The sequence below is a fragment of the Homo sapiens genome, chromosome 1 (assembly GCF_000001405.40).
Source record: "Homo sapiens chromosome 1, GRCh38.p14 Primary Assembly".
Lineage (NCBI taxonomy): Eukaryota > Metazoa > Chordata > Mammalia > Primates > Hominidae > Homo > Homo sapiens.
The window spans coordinates 690,156-703,424 of NC_000001.11; the positions used below are offsets into that span (position 1 = coordinate 690,156).

At 37.9% G+C, this 13,269-nt stretch overlaps 1 protein-coding gene across 4 annotated transcripts in view, besides 1 other annotated feature; it reads right to left on the reverse strand.

Moving 5' to 3' along the window:
- OR4F16 (olfactory receptor family 4 subfamily F member 16) overlaps positions 1-13,269 on the reverse strand; it is a 44,026-nt gene that overhangs the window by 14,080 nt on the left and 16,677 nt on the right. Inside the window, exon 2 of one of the 4 annotated variants that reach the window (XM_017002408.2) lies at positions 422-639. The exons of 2 other annotated variants lie outside the window; for them this stretch is intronic. The gene's annotated coding sequence lies outside the window, so the exon portion shown is untranslated. Of the gene's footprint in view, positions 1-421; positions 640-8,771; positions 8,791-13,269 lie in introns of those variants that run through there. One more of the 4 variants, XM_047431162.1, reaches the window with a different exon arrangement.
- Positions 6,919-7,430: an enhancer, noted in NCBI's record as "NANOG hESC enhancer chr1:632454-632965 (GRCh37/hg19 assembly coordinates)". NCBI's record gives its function as "activates a minimal SCP1, AML or CMV promoter by ChIP-STARR-seq in primed H9 embryonic stem cells {active_cell/tissue: H9 hESC(primed)}" and the evidence as "EXISTENCE:reporter gene assay evidence [ECO:0000049][PMID:30033119]".

Here is a 13,269-nt window from a genome sequence, read left to right on the forward strand (position 1 = left end):
TTTATACTATACAATAATATACACATGCAATTCACTGGAAAAAGTATACTTGTTACTATGATTTGAGGATACTACCATATACTAATCAAGAGAAACACATGTACAGAACAAAGAAGGCACATGAAATTTTTACTAGTGTGTGTTTTCCTTGTGTTCTACCACCCCAGGAGCAGCTTCTGCTACTGAAGATCACAGTAGAGTTATTTCCAAAAGTTGTGGGTCTGCAGGGTGGACTTATCACATAGCTGTTTGCCAAAATTCAAAAGTCCAGAAACCATTTCCAAATTTTCACCTCTTTTATCTTCAAATCCTAAAACTATGAAAATTCACAAACTTAGCTCCATACATTATGGTAGAAAGGTTAATAATTTGGACTTTGAGGTTGACCAGGCCTGATTTTTGAATAAATTCACAAACTTACCTCCATACATTATGGTAGAAAGGTCAATAATCTGGACTTTGAGGTCGACCAGGCCTGATTTTTGGATCCAGGCTGCAACACTCACTTGCTGTGTTAACGTAACAAAGTTCCTAGACCATGCTGAGCTTCAGTTTACTTGTTATTGAATTAGGGATATAGCGTTCGAAGGAAGAAGTTCTAGTATTTGATTGCACAGCAGAGAAATTATAGTTATTGAACTGGGGATATGTAGATAGACATAATAAATTTTAGTATTCAATTATACAATGGAGAAATCGTAGGGAACAATAATTTATTATATATTCTAAAATAGCTAGCAGAGAAAAATTATAATGTTCCCAACACAAAGAAAAGATAAATATTCAAGGTGATGAATATCCAAATTACTCTGATTTGATCATTACACATTGTATACATGTATCAAAAATATCACATGTACCCCAAAACATGTACAACTATGATACATCAATAAAAAACAACAAAAAAACCAAAAGAATAGAAATCAAAAATAAATACATAAATACATAAAATAGGGATAATAATACCTCCCTTGTTTGCTTGCTCCCTTGCTCCATTTGTAAGAAATAAGTGATATAATATAGGTAAAAATACTTAACCTCATGCCTACCACATAGTATAGCACAATAAATGTTATTTATTATAATCTGAGGCCTACCTACATAAGTGACTTTCAAGTATAGAAAATTATTTCTCAAATTTTAAATACTCCCTGATTCTCAGGTATGGTAATTAGACCTGGCTTTAGGTAAAGCTCTCATGTCTACACTTGGATTTAATCACTTAAGTATATTTCCCAGTGCCCCCCCCAAAAAAAATTGCTCCTAGGTGGACACACTAATCAAAGACTTCCTGAGAAATGCAGGAAGAAGTTTTGTCCTCTGACCACGCTACGCCCTTTCCTTGATGGTAAGCCCCATAATCTAAAGCCATAAGTTTCAATTCCTCACATAAAAAGAAAAAAAATGTCTTTTATGACCACTTCAGATAACACTGGATATTTCCCTTGTCATTAGGAATGAGAAATGGGAGGAAGGTAAACTTGTAGACAGGAGAATTGGTAGATGCTTGAAAGGATTTCTGAAAACTGTGCCTATCCAGGTGTACAAATGTGTTGACCAGCCAAGGCAAAGCAGTCAAACCATACAATACCTTATCCTCAGGAAAATGGACTTTTCTCCCAAATTGCCTTTTTCATGAAAAATATAAAATTCTCCAGTTTCAACCTCATGTTAAATTTCACATGTGAAGAAAACAGTCATGCACATCAGAAAATTAAATGGCGAGTCAAGACCAAATTCCTAGTCACAGTTATGTTCTGTTTCCAGTATTACCTTCTCACTTATTCATTTTGTTAAAGTGGAGCCAAAATAGAAGTGGGTGTCACACATCAAGAAAGACTGAAGTCGTACAAAGCCGATCCTTATCCAACGTGCATTAAAATATGCATCAGGCATGTGTGATGCATACAGTAGAAGTGGAACAAATCAGGCCAGGTGCAGTGGCTCACGCCTGTCAGCCCAGCACTTTGGGAGGCCAAAGCAAGCAAATCGCTTGAGATCAGCAGTTCAAGAAGTGTAACAAATCCTCTACAATATAAGTAGAGTGAAAAGAGATAGCTACAGTGATGAGGGAAGGCACTATAGTGATGTGGCATTTGAGTATAGCCATAAAAGAGGATAAATATTACAATACATGAATATAGGGTCTAAAGAAGTCTTTTCAAGTAGATTGTAAAATATTTCAAAAATGGTAAGTTTGGTGTATGTTGAAGCATACAGATTGTCTACATCCTAAAAATCATTTTGGTGAATAAAGGAAAATAAGAAAGGTAGTCAATATTCATTTGTTGCCTATCATTAGAAACTTCTCAAAGGTATATGAGAATTATTAAATAAATTTAGGAAGCCAGTGAAGGTATGGGTCCCGGGAATTGAGGATGAAGCCAGTAATTAGGGAAGATGCCCCATCTATAAGTGTGATGTATCAAATGGAGGAAAAGAAAAACGGAGGGAAGGAGTTCCCTTAAGAGAAGATTGAAATAGAGCAGACTTGGGGGGCTACACAGAGGAACTGGGACTACACAGTTCCAGCTTTAAGGCTATAGAAACAGAAATAGAAATACTGGTAAGTAAAAACCCAAAGGATTGGTGACTTATCACAGCTGGAGTGAATACGAAGGAGCATGAACTCAAAGAAAATATCAAGATTTAAGCAAGAATAAATAGGACAATGGTAGGTCCATTTTTAGAAATTAGAAAGTTGAACATAAAATATGTCAGGGTGGAGAAAATAATCACGTGTATTTTAAGCAAATAAGAGTATTAGATATTGAGATGCTCAGGTGAAAACATATGACAGGATATATGGGGGAAAAGTACAAATTCAACATGTAATTGTATAGTAATCCATATAAAAATAATAGACGGATGTGTAAGAGTGCATAAGGTCCCTGAAGGAAATAATACACAGGAAAAAAAGATTAAAAAGCAAAGACCCAACTATAGAAACTATCCACATTGATTATGTAAAGTAGGAAAAGGAATCAATAAACTAGACAGAACATCACAGAGGTAGGAGGACAAGTGCTGGCCTCGAGGAGCCAACACAGAAGCAGGTATCAAGAATAAAGGAGGAGAAGAGAGAACAAAGAGAGAGAGAAGAGAACTTCTGTGGCAGAAGATCAAGTGGGATGGTAGAATAAAGGAGAAGAAATACAAGAAAATTGAAATAAAATTTACAGAAATGTTCTACATTGTAAGTGGGCAGTTTTGACCTGGCACATTGTTGGCACACATTATAAATGTCAAATGTATTAATGAATGAATGAATGGATAATATAATGAATGTGATGGAGTTGTCAAAAGCTGAATTAATTAAAAGTCCCCACGAGAGGTTAGATGACAAAATTTTCAGAAACTTTCCATGCCACTCTGTTGTGACATCAACAGTGCTGGACCCTTGAAATCAAACCAAAAGGATTCCACCATGAGAATGAAAAGGGCTGAGAAGGGGAATGCTGGGTGACACAGAAGGTGACAAAGGGCGAAAGGTTTCTAGGCATTTGATAGACTGATGGACGTCCGCGCTGACCATAAGGCACAGGCCACACAGGAAGGAAAATGAGACCCAACGCGAAGAAAAGTAGGGCTAAACAGTCGGGAAAATGTGGGAAGAAGGATGAATAGTCATACGATCAACTCAGATTCCTCCCTGACATTCTTCTACAGCTTTATTCTCGTCCTTTGGGAGCCGAGATGTTCATTTTCCTACATTCTTAGCTGCCTACACACGGCGACTTTTCTCCACGGTGCCTGATCCCTGCTGCATCCTCCTTCTCTAGTGGCAACAGCAAATGGCCACACAGAAGGCAGACATTGCACCCAACTGAGGAGAATGTAATTCACTCATTGCCAGTCACAGACCTTGGCTCACCGATTTACTAAGTATAGATTTTATTTCTATCCCTCACCTACCTGTTTTGCCAAGGGAACTAAGAAAAGAGCATCATCAAAAATTCAGATAGGTATAGTTCTCACAAGATGAACCAGATCCAGTACGGCATCACTGCAGACATACACACAGAGCTGCATAAAACAGGAAGAGAGCTGCTAATCACAGCCCCAGAGGGTAGTGGCCAAAGTGATGCCTTGGAGATCCGAGAATGCCAGACTGAGATCACACGGCCTGGGGAATTACCGCCTATGGTCATTTTGGTTTTCCCGGGATAGCCATGTTAATTGGGTGAAATAAAGCATATTTGATTTTCTTATGACAAAAAAGGGCTTTTGCCATTGTCTACAGATGATACTTTAAATCTTTATTTTATGACTAAAGGTGAATTCCAGAGCAACATTAAATGTTGTCCCTTTAAATTTTTAATCATTTACATAACGATTACCATAATATTCAATTTAAACATAAAATGTAATTGAAAGTATGAGATTAATATGTGGACATGAAATCATATAATGTTCCATGGAAAAAATAGAATGTATAAGGCAAAGAGGTTTAAAGTAACATCAAAACTAATGCTCACTATACAAATTCTATGAAATCCTCATAATTACACTGTGAAGCAGGTGTTGTTAGAGCCACATAATCTCAAACAAATTATTTATTATCTAAAATTACATAGATATTAAAAGGTTAGGCCATATATGAATTTAGGATTCTCTCAAAAATTTTTTCTCTTTCTCCTACATCAAACTTCCCTAAATTATAGAAAAGTCACAATGTTACCAAACATATTCACAAAACACATATAATCTTGAATCCAAATTTCAGTTACAGCAGAAAAAATAAAACTCTAGATCAATCTCAATCGTGTAAATAAATTCAGATTTCCAATCTAAGAGTCTCAATTTGACATACTTCTTTCTCTCTCTTCTTTCAAACCAGGAGAAATATAAATATGAGCCACAACCTTACAAAAGCTAGAAAATATTTACAATTCCACACAACAACACATGAAGAAAACCTTCTGGACATCAAAAGTTTAAACCAGTCAAGACTGAACACCAAGATAAAGTGCATGCCTCTGAAGAGCTTGAGCTAGTCAAGAAGCCCAGAAATCCCTAAAAGAGGTGTGTATACTGAGGACTGAGGATCAAAACCTGTGATCTTTACTTGGAACAGAAATATTGCAGCATGTGAACCCTCCACAGAGTGACAGAGGGAAAGGAGTTTAAAGGGAAACATGCAAATGTATCACCTTTGGAATAATTAGGACACGTGTGTGGTGTAATGAAAGAAGGCAAAAAGATGGGGAAGAAGCCAGACAGATGGCAATTTTCATTCTATTATGAAAAGAAAAGGATAAGTCACAAGTCACATGATGAAATTAACAACTATGAATCCACTCTAAGCCATAGTCAATCCTATAGCCTAGGAGTCATTCTAACAGATGAGAGTGTTTTGGAGACAAGATTCCAAAACTCGTCTGCCTTCCATCATACTTACTACCCCCAGCTCCTCCTCCACAATATCCTTTCACAAGTATCTAGAATATTCAAAGACTAATAATATTATATAATTATTTATAATAATTGTATTACAAAAATAAAACTTGATGACCTTTATAAAAATACTAGAAGAAAAAGGGAAAATTACATAAGGTACAGAACATACAAATTATACCATGAAGCAGTAAAAAACAGGATCAAATTTTCTATGTTTTTTAAAAATATGCCTTCTCTAAAATGTTTTCTCTCTGAAATGATATTTAGAAGACATAATTGAAAATAAATACAAAATAAAGTGATAAAAAATAATCTGGCAAAATTCAGGATGTAATGAGTAAAGACAACCATGAAAGAAATGAAGATCAATAAAAGCAGGAAAAAAAGTGGGAAGTGGAGAGAATAATGCTGCTAAAAACACAGATAAGAATATAAATGACAGGCTTAAATATATCCTGAGCAAAACGAAATAGAAAACACAAGAAGGTGAAATGTAACATTAAAGTCAGGTCCAACAAATGAGAAATTAGTGTGAAAGAGCTCACAATATCTGGTTAAAAAATTCAAAGATAAAAGAAAACTTTTCTGAAATGAAGAAAACATTGAATCTAATGGTTAAAGGGCTTATCTTTATCCAGAAAAAATGTGTTATAGTATGACCACATCAAGGCAGATGCAACTGAATTTACCGGACTTCACAAACACAAAATAAACAACCCACAAAAAAAAAAAAAAATAGAGTCCCCATGAGGCTTTAATGAAGACAACTATTAGAGGCCAGGCGCAGGGGCTAACACCTACAGTCCCAACACTTTGAAAGGCCAAGGCAGGAGAATCACTTGAGCCCAGGAGTTCAAGATAAGACCAGCCTGGGCAACATAGCAAGACCCCATCTCTATCAGAAAAACTTAAAAAAGAAAACTATCCACTAAAAATGAATAGAGATAACATGATACAAGTGAGCATTCTGAAGCCTAATATCAAAATGTTCTGGGGTTTGCGGTTAAAGAACAGAATGCAAATGTTACAAACCATAACTGTATAAAGACTAATTATATTCATAACAAAAATAAGAAGAGAAAGATAGTAGAAATATATTCTGGTCCATTCAACTTTCACAGTGGGAGAGAATCAACAAATTATGTTATGGGTGATTAAATATTATTTTAAAAGATAAAGGTCATTATTAGAAAAATTAAAAATAACAAAATCAAATAAAGTTGGATGACGAAGGTGGGAGAGGAAAGTGGGTTTAAGGGGTAAAGTGGAACTATATTAAAAGAGTCAATGGAGAGCACCCTTGGAAATAACACAAAAATTAAAGAACTAAATATAATTTATACAGCACATAACTAAACTATAAATCTTCAAATTAAAAGAAAATAGGTACATACAAAATATCACATACAGAGAAATATTAATACCATGAAAATATTAAAATAAAAGCATAAAATTAATTCATTTATTTACCCTATTAGTATTTTTTGAACACCTATGTGCCAGGTATTGTGCTGAATGCCAGTAAGATATAGTTCCTGCATCTTGGAGTTTTCGTGGAGGAGACAGAGATTAATCAAACAATCACACAAATGTAAAATTGCAACCATAAAAATTACTCTGAAATACAATGAAAATTACTATAAGAGAGGGATTTGATGTGAGTCAGAGAAGTTTCCCCTAAGAAAGCAACACTGAAGCTGAGATCTAAAGGGTAAACAGCAGTTAACTGAGTGGAGAACAAAGGTTTTCCTGCAGGGGGAACAATCTGCTCCCCGAGGCCAGAGTGGGGCCTTGGGAGTTGTGCCTGAAACCACATTGTGAGGAAGTGAGGGGAAGCATTGTGCAGATAATGCTGAAATAAGTAGTGGAAGATGCTTCCTAAGAGAATGAGAAATCCAAGACTACTAAGCAGAAGAATGATTTGACCAGATTTCACATTTGTAAATATCACTATGGTTACAATGTATAGAATGGATTTTAAGGAATTCAAATTGGATACAGGTGAGTCAATTAGAAAGCAACATGCTTGCTAAGGCAAGAAATTTGATTACTTAAACTAGATATGGGAGTTTTGGAAATAAGTAGATAAATTTGTCATATATTTGAGATAATAAATCACCATGACTTGATGGTAGACTTAGTTGGAGATGCCCTCACTAATGCACCATCTAATGCTTCAAGTCTAATAATTATTCAATTCCTCCAGAGCCACCAATCCAATGGTTCTACCATATTTATGCTGTCATTCACTTTACTGATATCCTTCTTACCTTACCTCTTTTCCCACTTTATATTCCATGATCAATACCTTGCTCCCTCGTAATGATTGTACTCACTCTTCCAAACAACAATCCTGATAAATCCTACTCTCTGCCTTCTACATCTTGATACCACACAGCTATATGTGGCTAGATAAAACAATCACACTGACAATCATCCTATACTTTCTGAATCCATCACTCTTCTACTTTTTCAGATCTTTTCTTTCTCCCTCATCCTTACCATGTAATGAACTCATTTTGCATGTCAAGGGCTAAAAGTTGAATATTTTAAAAGTTCTCATTTTCCCACTACTATATAAACCAACAAATATCTTTAGTCTGCATTCACAAATAACATAACAAATGAGCTCTTCATATTTCTATCCGTGGTGAATTAAGATGACTAGAAATTTTGTGGCACCATCCCGTTGAAAACGTGGGGACATATTCTTTCTCCTTGAACCTGGGTGGGCTCTTTGACTGCTTTGACCAATAAAATACAGTGAAAGTAAAACTTCCAGTTTTGATGTCCAGATGTTAAAAGCCTTGAAGCTTCCATTTCTACATCTTGGAACCAACGTGTGTGGGTGCTGAGTCAGTATCGAAGAATTCTGCTTATTCTGCTTGCATTAGTCCATTTTCATGCTGCTGATAAAGACATATCCAAGACCGGGTAATTTATGAATAAAAAGAGTTTCATGGAATCACAGTTCCATGTGGATGGGGAGGCCTCACAATCATGGCAGAAGGTGAAAAGTATGCATTACATGGGAGCAGACAAGAGACAATGAGAGCTGAGTGAAAGGGGAAGCCCCTTGTAAAGTCATCAGCTCTCATGAGACTTATTCACGACCATAAGAACAGTATGGGGGAGCCACCCCATCATTCAATTATCTCTCACCAGGTCCCTCCACAACACATGGGAATTATGGGAGCTACAATTCAAGATGAGATTTGGGAAAGGACACAGCCAAACCACCTCATTCTGCCTCTGGCACCTCCCAAATCTCATGTCCTCACATTTCAAAACCAATCATGCCTTCCCAATAGTCCCCAAAAGTCTTAACTCACTTCAGCATTAACTCAAAAGTTGGCAGTCCAAAGTCTCACCTGAGACAGGGCAAGTCTCTTCCACATATAAACCTGTAAAATCAAAAGCAATTTAGTTATTTTCTAGATAAGATAGGAGTACAGGCATTGGGTAAATGCAGCCGTTCCAAATGGTAAAATTTACCCAAAACAAAGGGACTAAAGGCTCCAAACAAGTCCGAAATCCAGTGGGACAGTCAAATCTTAAAGCTCCAAAATGATCTCCTTTGACTCTATGTCTCACATCCAGGTCATACTCATGCAAGTGGTGGGTTCCCATGGTCTCAGGCAGCTCCACCCCTGTGGTTTTGCAGGGGAGAGCCTTCCTCCCGGTTGCTTTCACAGGCTGGCATTGTATGCAGCTTTTCCAGGCACACAGTGCAAGCTGTCGGTGGATCTACCATTCCGGGGTCTGGAGGACAGCAGCCCTCTTCTCATAGCTCCACTAGGCAGTACCCTAGTGGGGACTCTGTGTTGGGGGCTTCAACCCCACATTTCCATTCCCCACTGCCTTAGCAGAGGTTCTCCATGAAGACCTCACCCCTGCAGCAAACTTCTGTCTGGAGATCCAGGCATTTCCATACATTCTCTGAAATCTAGGTGGAGGTTCCCATACCTCGATTCTGGACTTCCGTGAATCCACAGGCTCAACACCACATGGAAGCTGCCAAAGCTTGAGGCTTGCACCCTCTGAAGCCATGGCCTGAGCTGTACCTTGACCCCTTTTAGCTGTGGCTGGAGCAGCTGGGACACAGAGCACCAAGTCCCTAGGCTGTACACAGGCAAACAGCAGAGGGGCCCTGGGCCCAGCCTATGAAACCATTTTTTCCTCCTAGGCCTCTGGGTGTGTGATGGAAGGGGCTGCCACAAAGATCTCTGACATGGCCTGAAGACTTAGCGATTAACATTTGGCTCCTTGTTACTTATGCAAATTTCTGCAGCCAGCTTGAATTTCTCCTCAGAAAATGGATTTTTCTTTTCTATCACAGTGTCATGCTACAAATTTTCTGAACGTTTATGCTCTGTTTTCCTGTTAAAACTGAGTGCTTTTAACACACCCAAGTCACTCTTGAATGATTTGCTGCTTAGAAATTTCTTCTGCCAGATACCCTAACTCATCTCCCTCAAGTTCAAAGTTCCACAAATCTCTAGGGCAGGGACAAAATGCTGCCAGTCTCTCTCGATAGCAAGAGACACCTTTACTCCAGTTCCCATTGAGTTCCTCATCTCCATCTGAGACCATCTCAGCCTGGATTTCATTGTCTATATCATTATTTGACATTTTAGTCAAAGCCATTCAACAAGTCTCTAGGAAGTTCCAAACTTTCCCACATTTTCCTGTCGTTTTCTGAGCCCTCCAAACTGTTTCAACCCCTGCCTGTTACCCAGTTCCAAAGTCGCTTCCACATTTTTGGGTTATCTTTACAACAGCACCCCACTCTACCAGTACCAATGTACTGTATTAGTCTGTTTTCATGCTGCTGATAAAGACATACCTGAGACTGAGTGATTTATGAAGAAAAAGACACTTAATGGACTCACATTTCCAGGTGGATGGGGAGGCCTCACAATCATGGTGGAAGGCAAAAGGCACATCTCTACATGATGGCAGACAAGACAGAATGAGAGCTAAGTGAAAGGGGAACCCCCTTATAAAATCATCAGCTCTTGTGAGACTTATTCAAGACCACGAGAACAGTATGGGGGAAATACTCCTGTGATTCAGTTATCTCCCGTTGGATCCCTCCCACAAGACACGGAAATTATGGGAGCTACAATTCAAGATGAGATTTGGGTGGGGACACATCCAAACCATATTGCTGCTGAATAGATCATGTAGACAGGCTCTCAAACTACACGGAGAGCAAGAGAGGCCCACCTTACCACAACATTTCATCCAATCCACTAATAAAACAGGCACATCACTGAAGCCACCTTCAACTCTCCAGACTACCCAGCTGCCAGCTGAATACCACAGATGGCTACAGTTAATACCACATGGAGCAGAATCATGTAGCTAAGCCCTGCTTGCGCTAATACAAGTCCACAATTTTTTTTAAGTTTGTTGTTTTAAGCTGCTAAGTTTTGAGGTGGTTTGTGGTACGTGGAATAAGATGTCACTCTAATATAATATAAACTTAAACTATGTGGCATTGGCTTTGGAATCAGACAATGGATAGAAGCCAGAAGGATTTCACAAAGACTGTTAGTGAAAAGTGAACAGACTTCAAGGAAAATGATAGCAAAACCTGTAAAAGCATTCTGGGAACTGACAGTAAACACTGAATGGTCCTTAAGGAGACTGAAAACTTGAAAGAGCTTAAGAAGTCTACTGGAAAGGGCTTTAAGGATAATGAGAAAAAATCATCAGTGGAGGCTGAGGAAAACGCACCAAAGTCATATTCTGATGGGAGAATTAGAAAACGCTTGCCTGGAATGATATAAAAAATAGGAAAAATACCGAAAAAGTTTGTGGATCTGGCTGGGGAGATTTTTGGTGTCAACTAAAGAAAAAAATTAAGCTTTTAAGAAATTAAAGTTAGATTTATTTAGGGGTCTGAGAACAAGAGACTGAGGATTACAGCCTAGGAGAAGTCTTCCAGAGAGGTTCTGTCAGACTGCTCTGGTGAAGGTCTTTAGCCCACAGTTTATATGCAGGCTGTACATATACACCATGGAATACTATGCCGCCATTAAAAAATGATATCATGTCTTTTGCTGGAACATGGATGGACCTTCTATTATCCTTAGCAAACTAATGCAGGAACAGAAAACCAAATACAGCATACTCTCAGTTATAAGTGGGAGCTAAATGATGAGAACTCATGAACACAAAGAATAAAACAGACACTGGGGTCTACTTGAGGGTGGAGGGTGAGAAAAGGAAGAGAAGCAGAAAAGATAACTATTGGGTACTAGGTTTAATACCTGGGTGATGAAATGATCTGTACAATAACCCCCTGTGACACCAGTCTACCTATGTAACAAATGCCCCTAAACTTAAAATAAAAGTTAAAAAAAAAGAAAATTAAAATCTCCTTATCATCTACCTGGTAATATGAAAAACACAAATCTTTCATTCATTCCTTTCAACTGATGAGGAAAATGAGGCATCGGGAGTTAGTAAAAGTCCACATTGAGATATGAGACCCACCACTGGCTGGACGCAGTGGCTCACACCTGTAATCCCAGCACTTTGGGAGGCCGATGCTGGTGGATCACCTAAGGTCAGGAGTTCGGGACCAGGCTGGCCAACATGGTGAAACCCCCATCTCTACTAAAAATACAAAAATTAGCTGGGTGTGGTGGCAGGCACCTGTAATACCAGCTACTAGGGAGGCTGAGGCAGGAGAATCGCTTGAACCCAGGAGGTGGAGTTTACAGTGAGCCAAAATCACGCCATTGCACTCCAGCCTGGGCAACAAGAGCAAGACTCTGTCGGGGAAAAAAAAGAAAAAAAAAAACCACCGCCATCATTTTGCAAGTGTTACCACTATTGTGTGTTAATATTGTAGAAGTATTCCTAATTATGATTTCTTTGTATTCCTAATTGTAATAGCTTTGTATTTGAAAAATTATTGATTCATACTCTATATGTTATTATTTTGTATGTGATGACAACAGAATATATTATCATGCTCCTTTTGTGAATCTCATTCATAATATAAAGTATAAATTTGTGATTTTGCTTTAATTTGAAATATTAACTTCAAATATGTTATCACAATTTGATACAAACTATTGACAGTAAATCTGTGGATTAAGTAATGTCTTAGTAGGTATTGGGAAAATTTGAAACTAGTAACATGGAGGACTATTGTCATTGTTTATTTCAAAGCCAGTTAAAATTCTGCAAAGCAGTGTACATAAAAATAATTTCAAGAAATTTATAAAATACCGAGATTATGGTGTATAAACAACTTTAGATTCTTTGTTTAAGAAATTCTGCCAGTTTGTAATATATGCTTCATTCAAAGTAGCTAAGGGCTGTACCTGGCTAATAGTAGGCACCTAATATTTGTTGAAAAGGAATACTGAGTAGCTGGGACCTCCTGAGTAGCTGGGACCACACACATTTAACCTGTATTTATAAAATTACTGTTTAGAGAATAACATTTGATGGAATCATGCTTTTACTTTCTGCTTACGACTCAATTGTTTGTACTGACATTAACATCCCAAATCCTTAGCATGGCCTACAAGGCCCTGAGCAATGTGGCACCTGCTGAAGCCTGCTGCCTCATTTAATAACTCTTTGTCTCTTTCCCAGATCCAGCCACTCTAACATTTTTTAGCTCCTGGACCAAGACAAGCTCTTCCCAGAACCTGACCTTTGTACCTGTTCTTTATTCCTGGAGTATTTTTCCCCTGACAAATTACTTATCATCTATCATAATTCAGGTTAAATGGCACTAACTCAGGGAAGGCTTCCCTAACTGCCTCCCTTCTCCAACCAAATTAGGAACAATTATATGGCCACATAGTATCGAATCAAGTTTATAATTTTAAAATAATTGGG